At 35.2% G+C, this 24,618-nt stretch overlaps 2 annotated features.

The window, feature by feature from the left end:
• Window positions 15,666-16,199: an enhancer, noted in NCBI's record as "NANOG hESC enhancer chr4:97173200-97173733 (GRCh37/hg19 assembly coordinates)". NCBI's record gives its function as "activates a minimal SCP1, AML or CMV promoter by ChIP-STARR-seq in naive H9 embryonic stem cells {active_cell/tissue: H9 hESC(naive)}" and the evidence as "EXISTENCE:reporter gene assay evidence [ECO:0000049][PMID:30033119]".
• Window positions 23,622-24,302: an enhancer, noted in NCBI's record as "NANOG hESC enhancer chr4:97181156-97181836 (GRCh37/hg19 assembly coordinates)". NCBI's record gives its function as "activates a minimal SCP1, AML or CMV promoter by ChIP-STARR-seq in naive H9 embryonic stem cells {active_cell/tissue: H9 hESC(naive)}" and the evidence as "EXISTENCE:reporter gene assay evidence [ECO:0000049][PMID:30033119]".

Raw genomic sequence — 24,618 nt, forward strand, 5'->3', positions numbered from 1 at the left:
ATTGTAGGTTTCCTGAGGCATCCCCAGAAGCTGAGCAGATGCCAGCATGTTTTCTGTACAGCTTCTGGAATGATGAGCCAATTAAACCTCTTTTCTTTATAAATTACCCAGTCTCAGGTATTTCTTTATAGCAATGTGAGAACAGACTAATACAGAAAATTGGTACCAAGGAAAGGGGCATTGCTGCAAAGATATCTGAAATGTTGAAGCCACTTTTAAATTGGGTAACTGGCAGAAGTTGAAAGAGTTTGGAAGGTTCAGAAAAAGACAAGAACATGAGGGAAAGTTTGAAACATCATAGAAAATGGTTAAATGGTTATGACCAAAATGCTGATAGTGATATGGGCAGTGAAGACCAGGCTGATGAGGTCTCAAATGGAAATAAAAAACTCATTGGGAATTGGAGCAAAGGTCACCTTTGCTATGTCTCAGCAAAGAATTTGGCTTCACTGTGCCCCTGGGCTAGGGATCTATGGAACTTTGAACTTGGGAATGATGATTTAGGGTATCTCATGGAAGAAATTTTTAAACAGTAAAGTGTCCATGATGTAGCCTGGCTGCTTCTAACCATCTATGCTCATATGTGTGAGCGAAGAAATGACCTAAAGTTGGAACTTATTTTTAAAGGAGAAGCAGAGTATAAAAGTTTAGAAAATTTGCAGTCTGCTCATGTGGTAGAAAAGAAAATCCCATTTTCAGAGGAGGAATTCAAACAGACTGCAGAAATTCGCATAAGCAAAAAGGAGCCAAGTGCTAACAGCCAAGACAATGGAGAAAAGGCCTCAAAAGCATTTCAGAGACCTGTGTGACAGTCCCTCCCATCACAGGCCCTGTGGCCTAGAAAAACTGAAGGTTTTGGAGGCCAGGCCCAGGGCCATGCTTCCCTGCACAGCCTCGGCACACTGTTCCCTGCATCCCAGCTGTTCCAGCTCCAGCCATGGCTCAAGGGCCCCCAGATAAAGCTCATGTTGCTGCCTTGGAGGGTGCAAGCTGTAAGTCTTGGTGGTTTCCATGTGGTATTAAGCCTGCAGGTGCACAGAGTGCAAGAGTTGGGGTTTGGGAACCTTCACCTAGATTTCAGAGGATGTATGAAAAAGCCTGCATGTCCAGGCAGAAGCCTGCTGCAGGGGCAGAGCCCTCACAAAGAACCTCTACTAGGGCAGTTGGGCAGGGAGATGTGGGATTGGATTCTCCATACAGAGTCCCCACTTGGGCACTGTCTAGTGCAGCTGTGAGAAGAGGGCCACCATCCTCCAGGTCCTGTGAAGGTAGATCCACTGACAACTTTCACTCTGTGTCTGGAAAAGATGCAGACACTCAACCCCAGCTCATGAGAGCAGCTGTGGGGGCTAAATCCTGCAAAGCCACAAGGGCAGAGCTTTCCAGGGCCTTGGGAGCTCACTCCTCACACCAGTGTGCCCTGGATGTGAGACATGGATGGAGTCAAAGGATATTATTTTGGAATTATAAGATGTAATGACTGTGCTGCTGGGTTTCAGACTTGCATGAGGCCCATAGGTCCTTTGTTCTGGCCAATTTTTCCCTTTTGTAACTGGAGTATTTACCAAATGCCTATACCTCCATTGTATATTGGAAGTAAGTAACTTGTTTTTATTTAACAGGCTCATACATGGAAGGGATTTGCCTTGTCTCAGATAAGACTTTGGACTTTGGAATTTTGAATTAATGCTGGAATGAATTAAGACTTTGGAGAACTATTGGAAAGGTGTGATTGTATGGGGCAGTGGCAGAATGATATGCTTTGGATCTGTGTCCCTACCAAATCTCAAGTCAAATTGTAATCCTCAGTGTTGGAAGTGGGGCCTGGTGGGAGGTGATTGAATCATGGGAATGGATTTCCCATGAATGGTTTAGCACCATCCCCCTTAGTACTGTACTCATGACAGTGAGTGAGTTCTTGTGAGATTTGGTTGTCTAAAAATGTGAGGCACCTCACCCCCTCTTCCTCCTTCTCCCACCATATAAAGTGGCCCCCTTCTTTTCCACCATGATGATAAGTTTCCTGAGGCCTCCCTAGAAGCTGGGCAGATGCAAGATCATGCTTCCTGTTTAACCTGTGGGACTGTAAGCCAATTAAATCCCTTTTCTTTTTAAATTAGTCAGTGTCAGGTATTTATAGTAATGCAAGAATGGATTAATCCAGTCTTCTTTTAATGGTAATTTTATACCCCTCTCTGTCAATGAAAAAAAAAATGGTTAATTCCTGATCAAAAATTAGAAATAGCTCCTTTTTTTTCTTCTTATTAGGAGTAAACATGGGAATCCTGTGACCTCCTTATATGATTCAGCATATTTATTGGCAGTGAAAAACTATAAGGAGCAATTACAACAGCTTTGAGAGCCTGACCAAGTTTTGCAGCTTTAAGAGTAGTTGGTCCTAGTTAAGGACTTTCAAGTATTAGAAACTTTCATTTAAGTCTTCAATGTTACATTGTCATCTCCACCTTCACCTGCACTAACTTCTCAATTCTGTTTCTGTTTCCCACCTAAAGTTTTTGGAGCATCCCAGTTTCTGGGCTCAATTTATTAGAATTAGAAGGCATGACAATGCTTTATCTGTCCTTCCAAGATTTAAAGTTAACAATTATCCTAGATCCAGTGAATGGAAGGCTTGACTTTGGATTATTATGGAACCTAATTTGCATCTCAGTCCTTCCTCTTGCAACCTCTTATATTGGCCCAGTTCATGCAACTTAGTTTCTATCTTAGTTTATTTTCTTACAACTTGACCCTACTCAGAACCAGTTATTCTATTGTATGACAGTAGAAACTTCACATACGAGTTCACAACATAGGCGTTCTTCTTTTTCTATCAGTTATCTCTATGTTTTCCCAAGAATGGGAGCTGACCTAGGAATAGAGTATCCATGAGCAGATGTAGATTCTGTTTCCCTTATCTCATACCATCTCAATTTTAAAATGGAATGGCTGTAATTAAGATTTATATCCTCTATTATTACTGTAGCCCACCATTTCTTTACCGTAATTCACACTAAGACAATTTTTTCAAGACATTTTTTTCCATGCATCTCTTTGTTAGTCTTATGCAATGAAATTTCAGTATTAATTTAAAAAGTGATATGCCTTTGAATATGTCATGCTGATGTTAGCAATGATTAAATGTAATTGAATTAATTCACCTGCTTTAAAAAATTTCTAGATGGATATACAGATAGGTATGAATATATATATATGTATATAAATGTTTTAATTCAATAGAACCAATAGTGTGAATTTATAAAAGGTTAATACATAGCATTTGATATATGCCTGCATGATTGGAGTTTTGAGATCAGAGAAGGAAAAATAAGACAAGGCAGTAGGGAAAAAGTGGTGAGTGCATAATAATTGTGAAAATGTTCATCTTATTTTAGGACAAATGTTAGACTGTGTTCTCTGGACTATTTTAATTAAATATGTTAATCTCTACTTTGTAGGAATAGATATCCCTCGTAAACCAGCTCCATTATTTCAAAATATCTTTTCATAGACATTGCTGAAGTTCTTTTGTGTGCTTAAATACCACCAAACTATTCAGGAAGAAAGGTTAACTTTCATTTGCTTATTTTTTCATGATTTTAGATTTCCTAGAAATTCAATACTATTTGGGTACTAAAACTGTAAAATAAATTTTATCAGCTTTATTCCAAACCTTGAGGCAACCCCAGGATGATATATTTAATTCAAAGCTGAGGGCAGACCAAACTACTTGAGTAGGTAACTTTTAAAATAATTCGTTAAAATTTTGACTTATGAGGTGATTGCTTTTAGGCCCTGGGCCAGTGAGGCCATATTATAAACAGCAGGGCTCACTGAATGCTTTCAGACTCAGCTCACATCATTATATATTTGGCGTCTATGCAGTTCCTGGAAGGGCACTTCTATCCTTAGACATTTATGAGTTGACGATATGATGTTACTATTCTTTAGGAAATTGGTTGAGTCTTTGTTTCTGGAGCTGTGAACGTGAATTTAATGTGTCTTCATTATTTAGCTAGTGATATAGGTATCACTTAACTATATAAATTCCAAAAAATCCAATGATACTAACAATATTATTGCCAAAAAGCAGTTATTGAAATAGCTACATTAACATATGTTGGATGAAGAAAAATGGTATAGAATTACTTTTATTGAATGATCTCAAATATAGTAAAAACATACATGAAAAGACCAGGAATAAATTTTCTAATTGTGTGATTTGTTTGGATAGTTGAATTATGGATAGCATATTTTGTTTCTTTATAATTTTCTATACTTTCCTTTTTTTCTTTATAAGAGAGATGTTATTTTTTATTAGTCGGTGATTACTCTTACAGAATTTTACAGTACTCAGCCCAAAATGTGTTTATCTACACACTCATTTCTACGTGCATGTTTTGATTGTATTATTACATTTGATATGTATGTATTATAAGTTATGCTCACAATCTCTGCCTCTACTCTTAATACTAACCATTAGTGGATGGGAAGAAGTCACAATATACTAAGAGTGCATAATAATGAAAGATGTTTGGGGAAGAGTATTACAAAATCAGTAAAGCTAGAGATATTATTTTTATAATCTGAGATGAAGTGAATACAAAAAGACATTATTAATCTCCAGTATATGACTCGCATTCTGTCAAGCCTTGTGCAGCCTTCCCAGTCTCTCTGTCTGTGGCCCATTAATTCATCTATCTATACATATATACGTTATGTCAGGTTAACCTTTATAACAACCTTAGTTCATTAGACAGGGATTATCCCCATAACTGGTAGCAAAATGTATAGACATCAAATAAGTGAAAAGACTCACTCAAGTTGCCACAATTAGAAAGTAGTAGAATAAGAATGAATCCAATTTCTCAGACTCCTATTGAAGTATTTGACATTATACCATAGCATACTGTTTCCAGTCTTGAACCTTATTCATGTTAATAGTTCAGGGGCCGAGGATCACATTTTTAAAAGCAGTGTTTGTAAATTCCTGAGAGTTCATATAGTCTTCCCTGAGTGTAAGTATGCTATGGTCTGAATGTTTGTATCCTCCTCAAAAGTGCATATATTGAAACCTAATCTCTAATGTGATAGTATTAGAAGGTGGTGGGGTCTTTCAGAGTTGCTTAGGTAATGAGGGTGGAGCTTTCATGAATAGGATTAGTACTTAAATAAAAGAAGCCCCAGAGAGCTAACTGGCTCCTTCCACCATGTGAAGACATGCAAGAAATCACCACCTCTGACCCAGAAAGTGGGTCCTCACCAGACACTGAATCTGCCTTTGCCTTGATCTTGGACTTCCTGGTACCCAGAACTGTGAAAAATATATGTCTGTTATTTGTAAGCTACATCATTTATGGTATTTTGTTATAACAGCTTGAAAGGAGTAAGAATAATGTCTTTCTGCATTTACTTCATTTCTGAAATGAAGATAAAGATAATAATAATTCCAAAGAAAATAATAATGATCTTGTATTCATGTAACATTTTACTTGAACCTTTACTTTGATTCTTAATCTAGTAGACAATAAGCTCTATAAGAACAGGTTATCTTTCTCTCTTTTCATTCATTCATCAAATATATATTAAACAGTAGATATTCTGATATGCTGTTTTAGGAGGTGGGGAAATATGCTGATTAAGACATAAAAATCACTGTTCTTGTTTTATATACCAAATAATATGTTAATTTTAAGTATCAAAAATTTCTAGAATAAAGAGAGCAATTTAAAAAGAGCAAATTGGGTAAATAAGGTACTTTATGTGCAAGGTAAGGGGGTGGTGTTAGGATAGAAAACAGAATGATGAGAGGAGCCAATCACACAGAAAGCCAGGGGGAAACAGGATGTTAAGATCATGAGGCAGGAGAGCTTATCAATTTGAATGAAGAGAAAGGAAGCCTATATTCTGGAGTATAGTGAGTGTAGGACAAGTAGTCTAGGAAATATGTAAAATTATATCATAAATGCAGATAAAGTATTTGAAAAGTCATTGGACTGTCCCATGCAGGTAAATAAAAAAAAATAGTGTAGGCTGAATTATGTTTTATAATGATCACTGTGTGAACATTGGGTTTTAGGGTGTAAGGTTAGAAGCAGGGAAACCAATTAAGTTGTGAAAATAATCTTAGGAAAAAAGGTTATGGTAGCTTGAATTAGAGTTATAGAGAAAAAAATGAGCACATTGAAGACATGTATCAAAGACTTGGTGATGACCTGAATGTTTGGACTCAAGGAAAGGAATAAATTAATGATGAACTTTGGGTTTTATTTGAATAATAGAGTATGTAGTTTACCAATTACTGAGCTGGAGAAGACTAATGAAGAGATAGATTGAGTATAGAGGAAGGAGTCAAAACTTTATTTCCATATATGTTCTGTTTAGACCCTGAGCCAGTGAGGCCATATTATAAACAGCAGGCCTCACTGAATGCTTTCAGACTCAGATCACGTCATTATATATTTGGTGTCTGTGCAGTTCCTGGAAACTCACTTCTATCCTCAGATGTTTATGAGTTGATGATATGATGTGTTACTGTTCTTTAGGAAATTGGTTGAGTTTTCATTTCTGGAGCTGTAAACATGAATTTAATGTCTTAATCATTTAGCTAGTGATCTAGGTATCACTTATATATAAATTTTTTAAAAAATCCAAATAGCACACAATCAATGCGGAGGTGTCTAGTATGTAGTTTAATAAAGTTTGGTGTTTAGGAGAGATTTAGAAGATAGATAGGAAAGAAATTATTGTCTTGAGGATATGGGTCATATTTAAAGCCACAACCTTGGATGGATCACCTACGGAGGGGCTGGAGAGAGAAAATAGAAAAGCCCAGAGTTAACCAATATTTAGAAGTTGGAAGACTCTTAAACCTTGGCCAATTTGCTATGAGAAAAATCTGGGGAAGGAAGGAGATGACAACTGAGTAAAATATTGTTGAGAAGCTGAGTTAAGTTGAAGCTGGAGAACTGGGAGACAGAGACAAGGTTAGACTTGTTTGAATAGGATATGGAAAGCATTTTTGATTCAAAATGACACACTGAGTAAAGAGTATTAAACCTGTAGGTCCTAAGGCTTAATTAATGTAATAGAAGAATAACTGAAAAATTACTAAAATCCCACAATAACCCAGAGACATGGAAGGATGAAATGGAGGAGAAAATTGAATGAATGTTTAAAAGATTATTAGCTAAAAGAAGCATGTTTGCTAACGGTGCGGAATGAAGGAGTTACAATCTGGATTAAGTGAGGGGTCTGTAGCAGAGGAAGGAGATGGCCTGCCTGGCAACATGAGTAGAGAGAAACTGGATATGAACAGTACAAATGTAATAGAGGGTAGGACAGAGATGCGAGACAACAAATAAATGTGTTCATTTACATATTGAAGAGCAGATCTCTTTACCTCTTTCCCTCGCACATGATTTGTTAGATCCAATTTTATTTTTGCTTTTGCTAGATAGGAACAAGGTAATGGGGTTATAAAGGGAGGGTGACTTGGTGCACAAGAACATTGCTTCTCAACGTTCAAATGCATAAAAATCACCCAGGGATCTTGTTAAAATGCAAATTCTGATTCGGTAGTCTGTAATGAAGCTGGAGATTCTGCATTTCCAGTAGGATTCCAGGTGATGCTGATACAGTCGTTCAAACCAAACACTTTGGATACCAAGGCACTAGCAGGTACTGGTTAAAAGAGAAATTTAAAACACATGCTGTTAAGTCAGCAGTTCTAAAAAGAGTGAAAAGAAAATAAGCTTATTTCAGTTGAACCACCACAGAACTTTGAACAGTGGTGAAGGCTTTGGAATTGCATGATATAGTGTGGAAATAGCTATGAGAACTCCAGAATAGGATGACCCAATTAAAGCAAGGATTGATGACATCATAGGCAGCCATCAGGGGGATATGGGAAAATGGTATTCAGCAGGGAAAGCCTCTATGTAAATGAAACTCATTTCGTTTAATGCAGATGTTTTTGATGTAACATCTAAATGCTCTCAAATATTACTTGAGTTACCAACATTCTAATTACTGTCTTCTAACTGAGATGTGGAAATAAATGCCTTTGTAATATATATAATAGAAAATCTGCTAAGATGGCTGGGTAGATGAATAGATCACATTTTTCAATGTTAGGAAAAAAATAAAGGCAATAACAATAAATATGAGATCACAATTAGAAGAAATTTGTGAGCCCCTGCATTATTTTCTACAGATAATTTTAACTCTAAACTGAACTCTCAGATTTATATATTGATGCATTTGAGGGTATCTAAGATTTTTATGATATTTTCTTATTTAATATGAACATGGAGAAAAACCAAGTACTTCCATAATAATAAGTAAATTCATTGGTGAATTATTTTCTCATAGATTCTTAAGATTTATAACTCCCAGGTAATTCTTTTTAAAACTCACTCTCAAACTAAATATTAGCATAGGGATGTAAGATAGCATTACTAAGAGAAAAAGCAACACAGTATGAACAGAGTTAGACCATTAGCCAAAGTGAATATGCAATTTACTATCTGTAGCTTTCATTTCACAGAGGAAATGGGAGAGTATTATTCACAGTTAAAGGAAATAGGTAAATACTGTTTTTCACAAATAAATGGAAGTAAAAGAATCTTTCTGTTCCTATGAAATTTATAGCAATGGAAGTATTAAAGTAAAGCCTTTAGACCATTATGTTTTATATAACTAAGTTAACATGTATAAATTAATTTTTCTCTTTTTAACCTTTAATTATGAATTACATATTGTGAACCTGGGTGAATGTTTAAAAAGATTTTCTAGCTTTCTCAGAATAAGGATTTTCCTCAAAATTATTATGTAAGAAAAATAATGACTGTGCTACCACAAAGGGGGCTATTCTGAATTACTAGTTTAGATTCACCACTAGATTTAGAAATGTATCAAATGGGAATAACCTGGTATCAATCAAAGATTTCTGAAATAACTGAGCCAAATCTAAGTTTCCCGTTTTGACAGATGACCCAGATTACCCACATTTAGCCATTCCCAGCATCTGTGGTTGTTGAATTGTCTTTGATCTGCTCTTGAATCTCTCACATGATCACTATAGTAGGCAAGGCCGCACATTTATAAGAAAACTGGCAACTGGGAACAGAATAAAGTTCTGTAGGCCTGCACTTAAAAAAAGTTAAGAAAAGCTCAGCTAAATTTGTATATTTATTCTCCAAAGCTCTGAAACAGCTCAATTTTAAATATCAAACAAATACACTTACTTTGTATTTCCCACATACTTGAAGGTTGAAAATAGTGCTTCATATCAGGAGTGTGATTTCCATGTCACTCGTCAAATACTTTTTGCCTTCAGCTATAAAAGTGCTTGTAGTCTTAGGTGTGCCATGCCCAAGTTTAATTGACTTCAAAGGACATCCATTCAATGAAAAGAAACCTGTGTTGGAAGGAGATTGTCCCAAGGCAAATCAATAAGGTCATTTTAGGGGCTCTAAATTGGAGAGCGAGTTTCTTCTAGTTCATTCTCTCATATGCATCTGAAAGCATACTTTTCTTGTGAAAAGTCTGTCCATTTTATTGCTTGTTTTCTTACATTATGTGTGAGTGTATGCGTGTGTGTGATAGGGTGAACTATGTTTTAATTTTAAAATAATAGTTAAAATTAAATTGGATTATTTGATGATATTGTTGGCTTAGCTTAAATGAGATCCACTGAAATTCACATTGAATTAAGTAGGAATTTCTTTAAAATGATTGATTTTATAAATTTTTTGTTGTGTTAATAGTTATATTTATTGTTAATAAGTTTAGAGTAAGTCACTAATAAAATGTTGATTTGCTTCTTCCCCCATATTAGTCTATTCTTTCCAAATAAAAACATCTCATTTTGATATGGTATTTCAATTTGTATCATGAGAAAATCTAATTCACTTGATTTCTAGTTTGAATGGATCTTTAAATATTCATGTAGTTGTATACAAATTAATGGTCTAAGTACTTGGATGCAAAAAGACTTGCAAATTCTTAAATATAAGATTATTTAGATGTGAAGTGATATTAGGAGCAAAAGTGTAGCAGTTGCTAGAGATTCATTAGGAACTATAAAAAGCTAGTACTGATAACTCTAAATATAACCTATATCATATGTAGGAGATTTTGATTAACATACATTATTTCAAGAAGAGGCCGTGTCATATGGTCATCATATACATATTTATAAGATATTTAAGAATTAAATATTAAAGAATAAAATCCTACAAGTCATTCTCAGATGTCCTTGCCATTCCTCAAAACAAATTATTCTTCTAAAATAGTGAGGATCCTTTAAAGGAACATTACAATAAAATGTTTCTTGTAAAGGGAAATGGTCCTTTCTACTTTAAATGTAGGTTGTTGCCCTTGATATGTAAGTCTGGGTTATTCATGACAAGCTTGGCATGCCAATATTCACTGGTTTAACATAATGTTCTTACCATCTCACCTCATTGAGGTGAGACTATTTTCTTCTTACAGAGTAACTTACAGTGTTTGTTTCATCCATTTGGTGCTCACACACAAATAGCCTTGTCTATGGCATGAAACCTCTAGGCTCAGTGCAATGAGTCTTCCATTTCTCCAGACTCATGAAGTAGTACCCGCCTATGTCGAGCCAGTCTAGGTGGCAACTATCTTCTCAGTTCAGGAAAATGCTGGCCTGGATACATGATACAGAGAAGGCATTAGTTTTCTAGAGCAACCATAACAAAGTAGCATAAAATAGGTGACTTAAAACAACAGAAATTTGTGTTTTTTTTTTGTTTTTTTTTACATTTCTGAGAACTAAAAGTCCAGAATTAGCAAGGCCATGCTCCCCCTGAGTCTCTGAGCAAAATCCTTCCTTGCCTCTTCCTAACTTCTGGTGATGGACAGCAATTCTTGACATTCCTTGGCTTGCAGCTGCCAAAGTCCAGTCTCTGCCTCTGTCATCACATGGCCATCTTTGCTCCAAGTTCCCTCTTTGTGTCTGTCCAAATTTTCCATTTTTATAAGGATGACCATCATATTGGATTAGGGTCCAGCCTAATTACCATGTCTTAACTTTGTTAAATCTGCAAAGATTGTATTTCCAAATAAGTTTGCATTTTGAGTTACTGGGAATTAGAATTCCAACATGTCTTCTTTTAGGGAATACAGTGCAATCCATTAAAGAGAATATAGTTTAAAACATATTTTCAGAAGTGAGGAATATACTCCTAGAATCAAAGGGCAGACAGAAGAGGTTTTTATCTACTTTAGTTGGTAACCCGACTTTTATATCTTTAATTTGAATTAGTTACATTTTTTTCTGAAGCCACATTATTTAGTATATAGTTTGGCAGAGAATGAGAATTCTAGTCGCTTTCATAAAATATAACATTGCTTATTGAATTCAAGCAAAAGTACAATATATAATGAAATCAACGAAGCACCTGCTAGTCACTTGGTCTTTGGGGTCACTTGCATTTAAACAGGAGGGATCATCAAAAACAATCAGGCTCTGAAATTTTGTTTCACATCATATTCTCTATATATACACCTCAAACATTCACTCTTTAGGGTGTATTTCTTCCTTAGCCATTTCACCTCTATCTTCCTTTTACTGAGAACCCAAGAGCTTTGAATTGTGTTTATTCATCATGGGAAACAACAAAAAGCACTCTTTACAATAGCATCTGTTTGTCAACAAATGGGTGTATTGTTTTTTCCCTTTCATTGGTCCATCTCTGCCTCACTGGCTGAATATATTTTGCTGTTACTGAATAGTACCTGCATATACAGTAATGTTTTCATGTGCCATAAAAGTCATTTTACCAGAAAGTGTCATTGATTTACTTGTGGCAATATAGGATTTCTTGATTAAGAGTTTGACAAATCCCCACTGAAGCTGCATAATAAATCAATCTTTTACTGGAAAAGCCTGAGAGGGGGGTAAGTGAAGATGCTATACATTAATACCTGGGGGAGAGTCACTAACCTCTGTTCTCTGGTGATCAATCACCTCGGCTACGTTGTGCTGACAATGTCTGGAGGTCATCTGGTTAATGAGACAGCACTAGAAAATTCCTTCCCAGGATTACATTGTATCAGTCAATCATGAACACCCATATTAGACACCAAGATTCATTTGCTACTTTTAAGAGAAAATTCTGTGCAATATGTCCAGAGCAGATTAATGATTATAAGTGGATTACATAAAAACAAGAAAAATATGCAGTTGCTCTTAGGGTGCGTCCATTAGGAAGAATTAAACCAAGTCGACACTGTTGGTGAGATTGTAAATTAATATAGCCACTATGGAAAACAGAATGGGGATTCCACAAAAAATTGAAATTAGAACTAATATGATTCAACAATATTGTGTATACATCCAAAGGAAATGAAATCAGTATGTTGAAGAGATCTGCACTCCCATGTTTATTGCAACACTATTTACAACAGCCAAGATATTAAATCAACCCTTCAAACTAAGTGTTCAACACTAGATGAAATTGTAGTGTATATACCTAATGGAATACTATTCGGCAATAAATAAATAATAAAATCCTGTCATTTTTGGATGGACCTTCAGGACATCATGTTAAGTGAAATAAACCAGACACAGAAAGACAAATACCACATGATCTCACTCACGTGGAATATAACAAACAAACAAACAACAACGACAATGACAAAAGAGTTGATATCATCAAAGCAGAGTTAGAACAGTGGTTACCAGAGACTGAGGAAGGGACAATGGAGACATTTATGTCAACGGATGCAAAGTTACAGTTAAATAGGTGGAATAAATTCTGGTGTTCTATTACACAGCAGGATGGTGGATAACAGCAAGTTATTGTATATTACAAAACAACTAGAAGAGAGGCTTTGAATATTCTTACCACAAATCAATGATAAAGCATGAGGTAATGGGTATACTAAGTAATCTGATATGATCATATAACATGTATATGTATTGAAATATCAAATTATAACACATAAATATGTACAATTACAATGTGCCAATTTAAATCAATAAGTAAATAATACAAATCTCCTAAACCAGAAAAAAAAAACAACACAAGTTGGCATAAAGTTTTTGTTTCCTCTCAGTGTCTTTCTTAAACACATTTTCATGGTGTCTTAAGGTAGGAACACCACAACTGAGAAATGATATTACTTAAAAAATGATCAATAGTGGAAATATTAACATTTGATTGAGATTGTAGACATTGTTTCTCAAATGTTGAAATCCATAACATAGCTATTTGAAAATATATCAGAAATATGTTGAAAACATATCAGGAATATGTGTATATTGAAAACATAAAAAATGAATTTAAAAGGAGAAAAAAGTATTTATTTTGCAAAGTCCTTTCTCTTCTTTCTGTTTTTAGCTATTAGCTGCAGAAATTAATTGAAATGAATATTTTTCTCTTGTGAGGAAACAGAAGTGAAGAAGGAGTTGTGCGCAGTGCACATTCAGCTTGTGTTTTTAATCTCAAATGAAATAGCAAATTATTTCACTTAATTTCTTTAAAACAAAATAACAGAAATTATTCATTTTTTTGCTCAGAAACTAGCAAGTACACATTCAAAAACTGTTTTTTGGATGGATTCAAAACTCATACAAAACTGATATTCATCGTTGGTCTTTATAAAGAAGAAGAAGGCTGGAGAAAAAAATTATTAGTATTTTTACCTGATATCATTCATGTATCTGAGCTAGTGAAATGTACATATATATCGTATATAAATGTCTATTTTTCTATAACTGACTTAGGCTAATGAAATAATGTTAGTTTTATGTAGGCTTTCATAGCTTTCAACTTGTAACTTTGGTCAAACTTGCCTGGTAATTTTAATCGTTTTCTTCTGAAAGTGCTTGGATGACACATCTAATTGAAGTATTTCCTGTTCTGTATTATATTTACTTATTTATAAATTTAATTTCTCCAAAATAATTTGAGTTTCCAGCAAACACTGATGTTATCATATTCACTTAAATACAATTTATTTGTAAATAATCATAATTCATGTATGTTAATATTTATTGCATATCAAAAATGGCTTACAAAATATAGCTCAATTCATAGTACTGCAGCCTTTACTATATTTAAAATATTTTTAAAGATGCTTCTATTTCAGTGGTATCATTTCTTATAATTAATAGGTATCATGAATGAATTTTAAGTTTCATAACTTTTGTGAGATGCTCTTCACAGAAGCCTTTTGAAAATATGTTTTCTACTTTTTGGATACAGATGAATTCTTTTATATTAACCTTGTTATTTTTGTGTACCTGTGTTAAAATTCTGTGTACATCATGCAACCTAAAACTAACCTAGTAACATGATGGATTATATGATCCCTGTGGCAGGTTTTCTTTATGCAAAGATAGCTGCACCAATTTCAGTCATCCCACAGGCTCTTCTGCCATGTGACCTTACCACTCCCCCAACAAGTGACTCAGATTGCTTCCCTTTGCAGCCCTGCATCTTGCCTGGCCATCCAAACTCACTTGTTACCAATAGAATGGGGCAAATATGACACTGAATACTTCCAAAGTTAGGTCAGAGAAAGTCTTGCAGCTTCCTTCTGCCTTCCTCTCTTGGAACCCTTGCTTTCTGGACATTCCCTTTTTAGATGCTCTCTTGGAACTCAACCACCATGTTTTGAGTAGCCTAAGTTATATGAAGGGGTGTAGGCATATTACATTCAACAGTCTCAGCTGAGCCAACTTCCGTGTTATGTTGGCCCAGGCATCAGACATGTGAGTGAAGAAGCCTCCAATGATACTGATCCCTAGTTCTCTGAGATGTTCCGAGCTCTTTCAGTCTTTCCAGCTAAGATCTCAAAGATTGTGGAACAGAGATGAGCCAACCCACTGAATTCTTTGCAGACTCCTGACACACAGATTCTATTTTTGTGCTATATCACTAAGTTTGGGTGGTTTATTACACACTATTAAAGAATTGGAATACTTCTCAATAAATAAATATTTGATATTCTCAGATACCTACACCTGTAGAATATTATATATAATTTAATGGAATTTTTATACTCATGTGTGAAATTTCCTAATATATTTTTAAAAATTGACTAAATAAGAATGTAAATTACATGTAGGACAATAACCTAAGATGGGAAATATACTGCCATATTATTACCATCATATTAAACAAAATAAGTCATAACTGGATGAACTAATTCTGTAGTCAGGAGGTTCAAACTTGTTCTTTAGGAAAAAGAATACTAAGTATATAATTTAACTCAAATCATTTAAATCCTGAAACCCTAATATCTAATTTAAAAATTAATATTGTGTTATATTAAAAATAAGAGCTCTGCATTTATTGAAGCATACTGTCTTTTGATTTTCTATATTTATTTTCTAGTTTATTTACTTGGTTACATAAACACTGTTGTACTTAATCCATTTTTGAGGTTTTTGCAAAGAAGTGTAAGTTTCTTTCTCAACTGTATTGCAATTATGCATTCTTTAGTTAAGAAAATAGCAGAATGATTTTTATTCTTAAATATGATAATATAGATTGGAATAAATCTGGTCATATAATTTTTTCCATTTCAAAGACATATCAATCTTGGAAGAAAGCAATAAAATAATAGTAAACACTTCAGTAGTACAGATTATTAGGCAGACATCTTTCCCAATTTTTACTACATACCTATAATAAAGGGATACTATAATATGGTACTTTTTCTACCTTTGATTTTGCAGAGGAGGAAACTGAGAGACAGTTTACCTCAGTTTGCTTTTAAGTACTGAAGCTAGGATCCAACTGAGCTTTTAAGCTCTACACTCTACTGACTGATATGGTTTGGCTCTGTGTCCCCACCTAAATCGCATCTCAAACTGTAATGCCCTAATCCCCAGGTGTCAAGGGAGGGACCTGGTGGGAGGTGATTGGATCAAGGAGGTGAATTCCCCCATGCTGCTCTCATGATAATGAGTTCTCAAGAGACCTGATGGCTTTATAAGTGTTTGACAGTTCCTCCTTTGCCTGCCACCATGTAAGATGTGCCTGTTTCCCCTTCAGCCATGATTGTAAGTTTCCTGAGGCCTCCTCAGCCGTGCAGAACTGTAAGTCAATTAAATCTCTTTACTTTATAAATTAGCCAGTCTCGGGTAATATCTTTATAGCAGTGTGAAAACAGACCAGTATACTGCCTCTACAGAAGTTTCCTGCACAGGAATGGTTTTCTCTTGCCTCTACAGAGGGTCCTACCAAGGTTTCTAGCAAGGAATGAGTCAGGCAGAATTTCATGGACAACTCAGTTAAAATGCATTTAAACTGTTTGTAGGTTCTCTTGCAATCATTTTAGCTTTTATTTTATTCTAGACCTTAAAAACTAAACTATTGAATTGATTTGAGGTTAAAAACTTGAAGCTAGTGGATATCTTGTTTATATAAAAGTTACATATTTAAAACATAGAAATTTCCTTTTTTGGTTTGTGACTTTATGCAAATCTTACTTAATGTAGTGAAGAAAAGACCAGAAATTATATTTCAAAGGACAAAGAAACCCAGGAGACAGAAGGTATCCAGTCAGCATCCAAATGAGGGGCAGCTGTGCTTTGAAAATGTGTTCATTTGTTCTTCCCACATAGCACCACGACCTGCCTAGTACGCAACAATTCAATGCCTGAGAGATTTCACACCTGAACTTCTTTCTCACTGGTCCCACTCCATATGCACTTCACCTTGTACACATAGCTTCAGTAATTACTGCTTTGTCAACATGTAAAATCTTCATGAAAAGGTTTAAAATAATTGCAATCTGTTACTAGGACTCTTCTATATCTTTTCACACCCTGTGCTTGCAGCATTTCTTTATAGCTGATCTTGTATATTTAATAGACAATATAAAATGACATATTCAGCAAAGTGATCATTTTTACTATTCATATTTTAAAAACTGAATTAATAACCAAGTCATGAAACTTCAAAAGAAATGAAGTGACTAAAGCCATTAAAACAAAGCTCCATCTTTAATACAAATTATGTGAGGCCAAGGTATGAATACTATTATTAATATCTTAACTCTATCAATCTGGTAGAAGATTTTTAAAAGTTTATTCGATAGTTGCAGATTTCTGTCTTTCGAAATCTCTCAGCCTTTCACCAAGTTCTTCACTTTCTTCTTTCTCCCATACCAACAACCTCCAATTTATGGAAAACCTATCTTTGAAGGAAAGAGAAATCAGTAAGACTTGATTAAATCTTGAGTAACACTTTGGTTTCCAGAAGTCAGAATTGACTCTTGAATTTACTAACCACAGCAATCCTCCAGAAATGGATAGCATGTCCAGAAGTGTAGTGTTAGGTTCAAACTTACTTAAATATGTGTTTCCCCTTTCTTTTCTTTTCCCTATATGCTAAGAATGCTTATGGGCATAAACTAGTTAACTTTAACTCTCTACAACTGTACTAGAGTCTGGTGTGCTATTCTTCCAGTGTCACCAGCACAAATTTCAACCATTTTTTAGTATCTTAAATATCTTTCTTTTCTCTTGACCTTTCACATGTTCCTTTTAACATTGTTGTTTTCACCCCAGGCTGTGCCAAAACTTGATAAAGTGTTTGAAGATGATGATTATGACTCTGTACCGTGGACAATACTGGAGAAACCTATGCTTGTTATCAGAGATGCTGTGGGATAAAATGATAATAAATAAGGTCATCTAAGCCTTGGATACCAGAACTCTCAATCTGGAAATGCACTTAGAGAATGAAATTTATGATAAGAGCAGAGTCGAAATGGGGCAGAAAGAGGGAGCAATTGGACAGAATACTGAGCATTGGAGTTGGAGGTATCACCCTATTTTTTGATTATTTAAGATGGGAGAATTTAAAAATTAGACTCAGTTGGGAATTAAATACCACCCTTGATAATTTATACCAATGAATGGCCTATGTATTTGAATGAAAGACACTCATGTGCTAAAATACTGAAAGAAAAATTGGTTATATCTCAGTGGTAGAACTATAAAATATATCTGTAATAAATTTCTAAACAGTTACTTCTGAATTTATTTTCAATTTATTCTAGAAAGAATAAAGGCAAGATAAACACACTGAGATCAATAACATTAGTATCTCTCACTTGCCATTAAATGACAATGAAATTTGGCTTGAAGTTCCCTGAATGTCAAAGCAAAGCAAGAAACACATTCAATGTAACAGTCTTATATTTTTACACAAATACTATTTTCTGCTGATAAGATATGAGCACAATTTCCTCCATGGAGTAAAAGCACTCTGAGGACATCTGTAACACCATGAATAATATTTCCGTTGTAGACACAATGACAGAGTTCAAGGCAATTCAGTACATACATGTAGAAACATTTTTGTGTATTACTGCTACAGTAGATTTTCAATTTTTCTGTGCTCTCTAATAACCCTAAGCCAATTACAAGTGTTTTAACAATGTTATCATCATTACTTCATATTTTTATAGAAATTTACAATATTGTTGGAAATAAAAAATCAAGTACTAAGGATTTTTGTTTGAATGCTGACTTTGTATTGGGTGAGGAACAAAAAAGGGAAGCAATTCAGGCATGACCTCTGGTCAGGCCCTGTATCTGTTTATTTACCTGTTTTCTGGCTCACTTATGTTTCCTGATCTGTGTTATCTCACCTACAATCACAAATAGGCCATAGGCACCTGCATGCATAGTGGATTGTGCTACCAGAAGGAAACCCTGAAATTATGAAGCACAAACTTGTAATCAGTTGGTCTCCATTTCTAATTTTGGTATCTATCTCAAATACATTTTGGATCTCTGTGGTCCCAGAGGCAAAGCTTGTACCTGCACTTTGTTGCATTTGTGAAAAATCCTGGCACTTAACTTCTCTGACAGTTGATGATCACTAACTCATGGAAGCAGAGAGAAGGAAAAACAGAAAGTGAAAAAGGAAACACAGAGAAGTCTAAGGTAGACTGGGTACAGGAGGAAAGTGGGAGAACTCCCTCCCATCTTATTAGTTCACTTAGCTCTAGTTAACCTGGGAGCCTGAAAAAGGAGGTTAGATTGTTATGCTGAATTCACAGCAGTTTCTTCAGAAGGTGAATTAAGCCTGTTCAAATTTGAAAATCTATAAGGAACGCAGGTATTTTTTGGTTAAACTCATATACCTCTAAGAAGCAATTTGAATTCTTCATAAAATTTGGCTAAATTGTGTAAGTTGTTCAAGCTAAGTAATCATATTTAATAATAATCAAATAATGTTAATAGGAGTTTGCTTTAAAGGAAGAACAATAACAAAAATAAAACAGACAACACAACAGTAACAACAAAAACTAATGGTCAGAGGAGGAGATATTAAAAATATCTGATGATTTCAAATTGACAGTAGTGAGCTAAGGAATCTGGTAGTAGACAACTGGAGTATTTGCATCCATGGCCCATCCAGCAGAATCCCAGCTATATAGAGTTCAAAGCTTTTTGTTTTGGGTTAAGTGAAGGTTGCCAGGTGGAAGTAAGGAGGGAGAGTGCTAAGTGAAAATGCGATATTACCTGCATGCGTTTTATTAACAGTAGCAGTTCTACTGTCCAGCCCACCACCACTGGATTGCCCTGTGTGTAAGTCTAATTATTAAACCCTATGTCTTGTTCACTGGCTCCAGGTCCCTTCTTTGGCCTCTCCAACATGGTACTGTACATACCAAGTCAACAGGGGTCTAGTATGACAATAGTGCCAGGGACAGCTCCTGGACTTCATGGGAAAAAGGAGTGGCATGACAACACTATAGTTAAAAAGGACCTCACTGGCTGCTGTGTGGGGATAGACTGGCTGTGATCAAGAACAGAAGATGGAGATAGCTTAAGAGATTATTGCAGAATTTCAGGTAAAATAAAAGTGGTAGTTTGGATTAAAGTAATCAAGGAAGAGGTGGTAAAAAGTGATCACAGTCAGGACACATTCTCAAGATGGAAGCAAGGGCAATTCCTGATGATTCTGATGTGGGAAGTTAATGAAACAGAGGAATCAAACATGAAAAATTCAGAGGAAATGCACTGTGCAATCAGTTTTAAAGTTAGCACATTAGGCCAAGGTGTTTCTGGCATCATCATAACAGTCATATCAGTGACTTTGCCTTAATTTTTTGGCTCAATCAAGTGTTTTATGATTCATCCATGTAGATGAATATACCTAGAGTAGATTATATCTTATTACTTAATTTATTGTTCAGCTATCAAGAAGTCTGAAAGGTCTGAGATTTTAGCCTACTTGTAATCAGTTGGCATATCTCAGTTCATGAATGCTCCTAGAATACACAAAACTCCTGGGTCAGAGACAAAGAACTTTATTACTCATGGCATAATAAGCAACGTGTGTGTTAATGTATTTTTCTGGTACTCTGAGCTTCAATTTCCAGAGGGTGACAAGAAGAGGGCCATAGGCACCTGCATGCATAGTGGATTGTGCTACCAGAAGGAAACCCTGAAATTATGAAACACAAATCTTTTATAATGGGAAACCAGCATGCCTGCTTTAACCTGGACAGGGAGACATCATTTTACTCCACAATAAACAGATCGGCCTTTTGCTCTCGGGGAAGGCAGTACATATCTCTTTCATGGCTATAAGCAGATCTGCCCTTTGCTCCAGGGTGAGACACTGCATATTTCAAAGCTGCTGACTATACGAAGGTTCTTGAAATTATAGTCCAGAAAAAAGGGTTTTCAGCGTCTCCTTCGCAAAGTGTACAGAAAAGCAAAAGACCTATAATCATCTCCCAGCAATGTGTATAACAATTTATTTTTTCTAAACTTACTAGATGTTTGAATGATTTTCAGACTTTTGTACTATAAGTAATACTGCTGAAAACATTTTTTCATTCTATTTTTGTAGAGACAGGGTTTTAGTATTTTGCCCTGGCTTGTCTCAAACTCCTGGGCTCAAGCACTCCACCTACTTTGGCCTCCAAAAGTGCTAGAACTACAGGTGTGAGCCACTGCACCAGGCCTGAAAACATTCTTATACATGTCCTCTGGTTCATGTGTACAAGAGTTTTCTAGTATCTGTTCTTAAGAGGTGAATTACTAGATTGTATTTTCACCAGCAGTATATAATTATTTTCATTGCATTTCATCTTCAGTAATCCTTTACACTGTCAAACTTCTACTTTGGTCAATCTCATGAGTGTAAAATAATATCTGAACTTAGATTTAATTTTTATCTCTTAATTTTAAAGTTATCTGTTGTTTTTCTTTTGCTTCTGAAAAATTACGTTTATTATATATCCCATTTTTAAATTCAGTTATCTTTTTCTTAATTAGTAAGTATGCTAATAAGTATGTTATGGATACTACTCTGTCAATTTTATGTGGGTATGTACCTTCCAGATTGGGGGTTTGTTGTGAAAATATCTTTGATATCTTTCGAAGAATGGTCTTACTTTCCATATGGTTTATTTTTAATGTAATTAAAATTATTACTATTTCCTCTTACAGTGTTGTTTGCCATATAGTTAAGAAACCTGTTACTAGTGAGGTCATAAATGTTTTTTATTAATGTTTTATTAATGTTTAACTGTTTGGCTTCTTTACTTCTTCCACTTGGGATAAATTAGGTTTTTGAATCTGAGAACTGGTGTCCTAACCCTAACCGTGACCTAGGGGTTAAGGCCCTTAAAAGCATGTGTACTGTATTCCAGCACAGATCTTGTACACACAGAAGCAGCACTGACTGCATCATCTCCGGACCATTTAATTGATTCTCCTGCTTTGCCCCCATATGTATGGATATTTCCAAAGATTTAGTACTTTATCCCCAGTTCTTTACTTATCAGTGGAAAATTGACATCTTGATCACAAAATTTTAGATCACCTGTAATTCTTAACTGTAGCTCTGGTGTCTTTTATACTATCTCCATGTCCTATACTGCTGATAGAACACTTCAATTCAGATGACTCCCTCCTGAAACGTCAAAGATTCGCCATGCTTCTTTTTTCAAAAAGTCATTATCTTTCCAAAACAAGTGCCTTTTTCTGTCTCTCTAAATCTTATAAATAATGCCAGTATTCTCCAAGTTACCCAGGCTCCAAGCTGAGTGTCAACTTTTACTTTCTCATTTTGTCTCTTATTTCCTTCTGTATCATTCCTAACTATGTTTTGGTGTTCATAATTTCTTCTGTATTATGATGACAGCTTTCCAAGTGGTCTCCCTGCTATGGAAATCCCTCTCTACTTCAACCTATCCTACATAGGAGAAGTGAATACACTTCCTAAAGCATTATTATGATGGTCTGCTTCTCAACCACCACTTTAAATCTACAATTAAGCCTCATAATCACAAAATAAAGTACAAACTTCTCTATTACAATATCTGGTGCCTATCATGATTTAGCTGGCTTAGCTGTCATTCTAACTTTACAACAAAACTGTTATTGGGTAGAAAAACCTGTTACTAATTTTCTCCATAATTGTGCATCTCTTCACCCCACTTACGCACGTGCGCACACACACACACACACACACACACACACGCTCACGTGTTTTTTTTATTTTGCCTTAACAATCCATTTTTACTCTACTGCCCTTGCAATAGGAAATCCTTGACCGTGGACCCAATTACCATCCGTTCCTTTCCTTCTTTGGTATGTTTTTTCATTACAGCTAGATTAGAACTAAATTAAGATCACTTCATGGAGTTAAAGAGTAATTTTCCATAGAGATTCTCTTTGTTTCAAATGTCATAGAATGGTCAGCCATACTTAAATCAGAACGCAGAAACATGGTCTATGAGCTCAATGAAAAAAAAAATTGAACGTGATCCACAGTTGGGGAATCAGGCACAGATAGACATTTTTGAGAAATGCGGCACCCATGATGGAAGCCAGAGTAAAATGAACAACTAGACTTTCTATGGGATGAGTGATATAAACATCTAACAAAATGTACCAGAGCATACAGAAGGGACTAGATTCCAGTTGCACTGTGAAGCTATGTTTGTAACCCTTTCTCACTCCAACCCCTTCTACCATTGGTAGGTCTGTTCTCTCCTGAGTTATTGGTACACACTAGGAAAAAGAGGGTGGTTGGCAAAAATGTGTGCTATGTACTGTATCTTTCACATAATCACACACAGGAATAGGGGTTGTGGATTTAGCAAAAAAGCAAAACCCCAAAAAACCCAAAAGAACTTTGGGTTAAATTTGAATTTCAGTTAAATAATGAATAATTCTTCTTCTAGTATAAGTATGTTCCAAATATTGCATAGGATACAATTGTCCTAAAAAATTATTACGCTATGTATATATATTTTAGTATAAATATATTTTTGTATACATTTTAGTGTAATAGAAGTATACACATATTTTAGTGTACATATATCTACAAAATTGTACACTGAAATATGTATATACTTATAATGTATGTATATACTTATATATACATTTATATAATAAGACATATGTACACATATATATACACCAAAACATATGTATATACTTATACATGTGTAATAGATACACACTATATATACACACACAGAAAGAGAGTATATACTCTGATTAACCTGTTAAATTTAAGTTTCAGATAAACAATGAATCCTTATTTAGTGTATCTCAAATATTGCATGGAATATACTAAAAACAATGAATTGCTTATCTGAAATTAAGATTTAACCTTAACTGGAGTCTTGTATTTTATTTGTCAATATTACAGAAGCATTGGCTGATTCCCTGCTGGGTGAAGTGAGGAGGATGGGCCTCTGACTGATGTGCAGGGCGTAAGCTGTGAGCTATCAGCAGAAAGTCAGCAAGAGCAGCAGGCAACAGAGCAGGGGAACCATAGAGCTTTAGAGGAGGCTTTGATTACATGTGAGCAACACCCCCTGGATCCTACTAGTGCAGGGCAGTCGGATTGCAAAAAACAGCCAAGGGCTTCTGAAGCATTGCCTCCTTTTGCATCACTGAGACAGAATCCTAGGAGTCATAATGAAACTATGGGGCTAATTTGCCTTTAGAGTAAACTATTACCTTATCTTCAAAGATAAGCACCCTGAAGAGAGCAAAGAGACTCTTTTTATTCAGAGCTTGTTTAGAGAATGAGAGTCAGCCACCATCACTTGCCTTTGAGAGTCAAGGCAGGTAGAGAGGAAAGTTCTATAGTGAAAATGAGGAAGGCTTCAGACATGCCTTGATTGGAGGCATTGGCATGAGGAAGCTGACAGTGGACTAACTAGAAGCAGGGGAACTTATGTAACTGATTTAAAAAGATTAACTGTTTATGATTGATCCTGAGTTGTAAGTAGGACAAAAAAATAGTTAAGCTGAAATCCCTTTATCAAGTTCTGATTGTATCCAGTTGTTGTTAAAGTTGTTGTTTGCTTCCTGGGCTGGTTGCTGCAGAGTTTGTGGGTCACAGTTTTATTTCATATATGATCTGATGATTGTTCAGTTGTATATTTAGTCTGTCAGTATGAATGTATTAAGAATAAAATTAGAAAATCTATTTAAAGCTCTTGGGCAGTATCAAGCACAGCATAGCATTCCATAAAGCATTGCTATTGTTAATAATAATAATGAAAATAATATTATTAGGTCTATATTCTAAACAGACCGAGGACACTGAGAAGCCTAGATACAGTGAGACTGGC

Source organism: Homo sapiens, chromosome 4, assembly GCF_000001405.40.
Source record: "Homo sapiens chromosome 4, GRCh38.p14 Primary Assembly".
Lineage (NCBI taxonomy): Eukaryota > Metazoa > Chordata > Mammalia > Primates > Hominidae > Homo > Homo sapiens.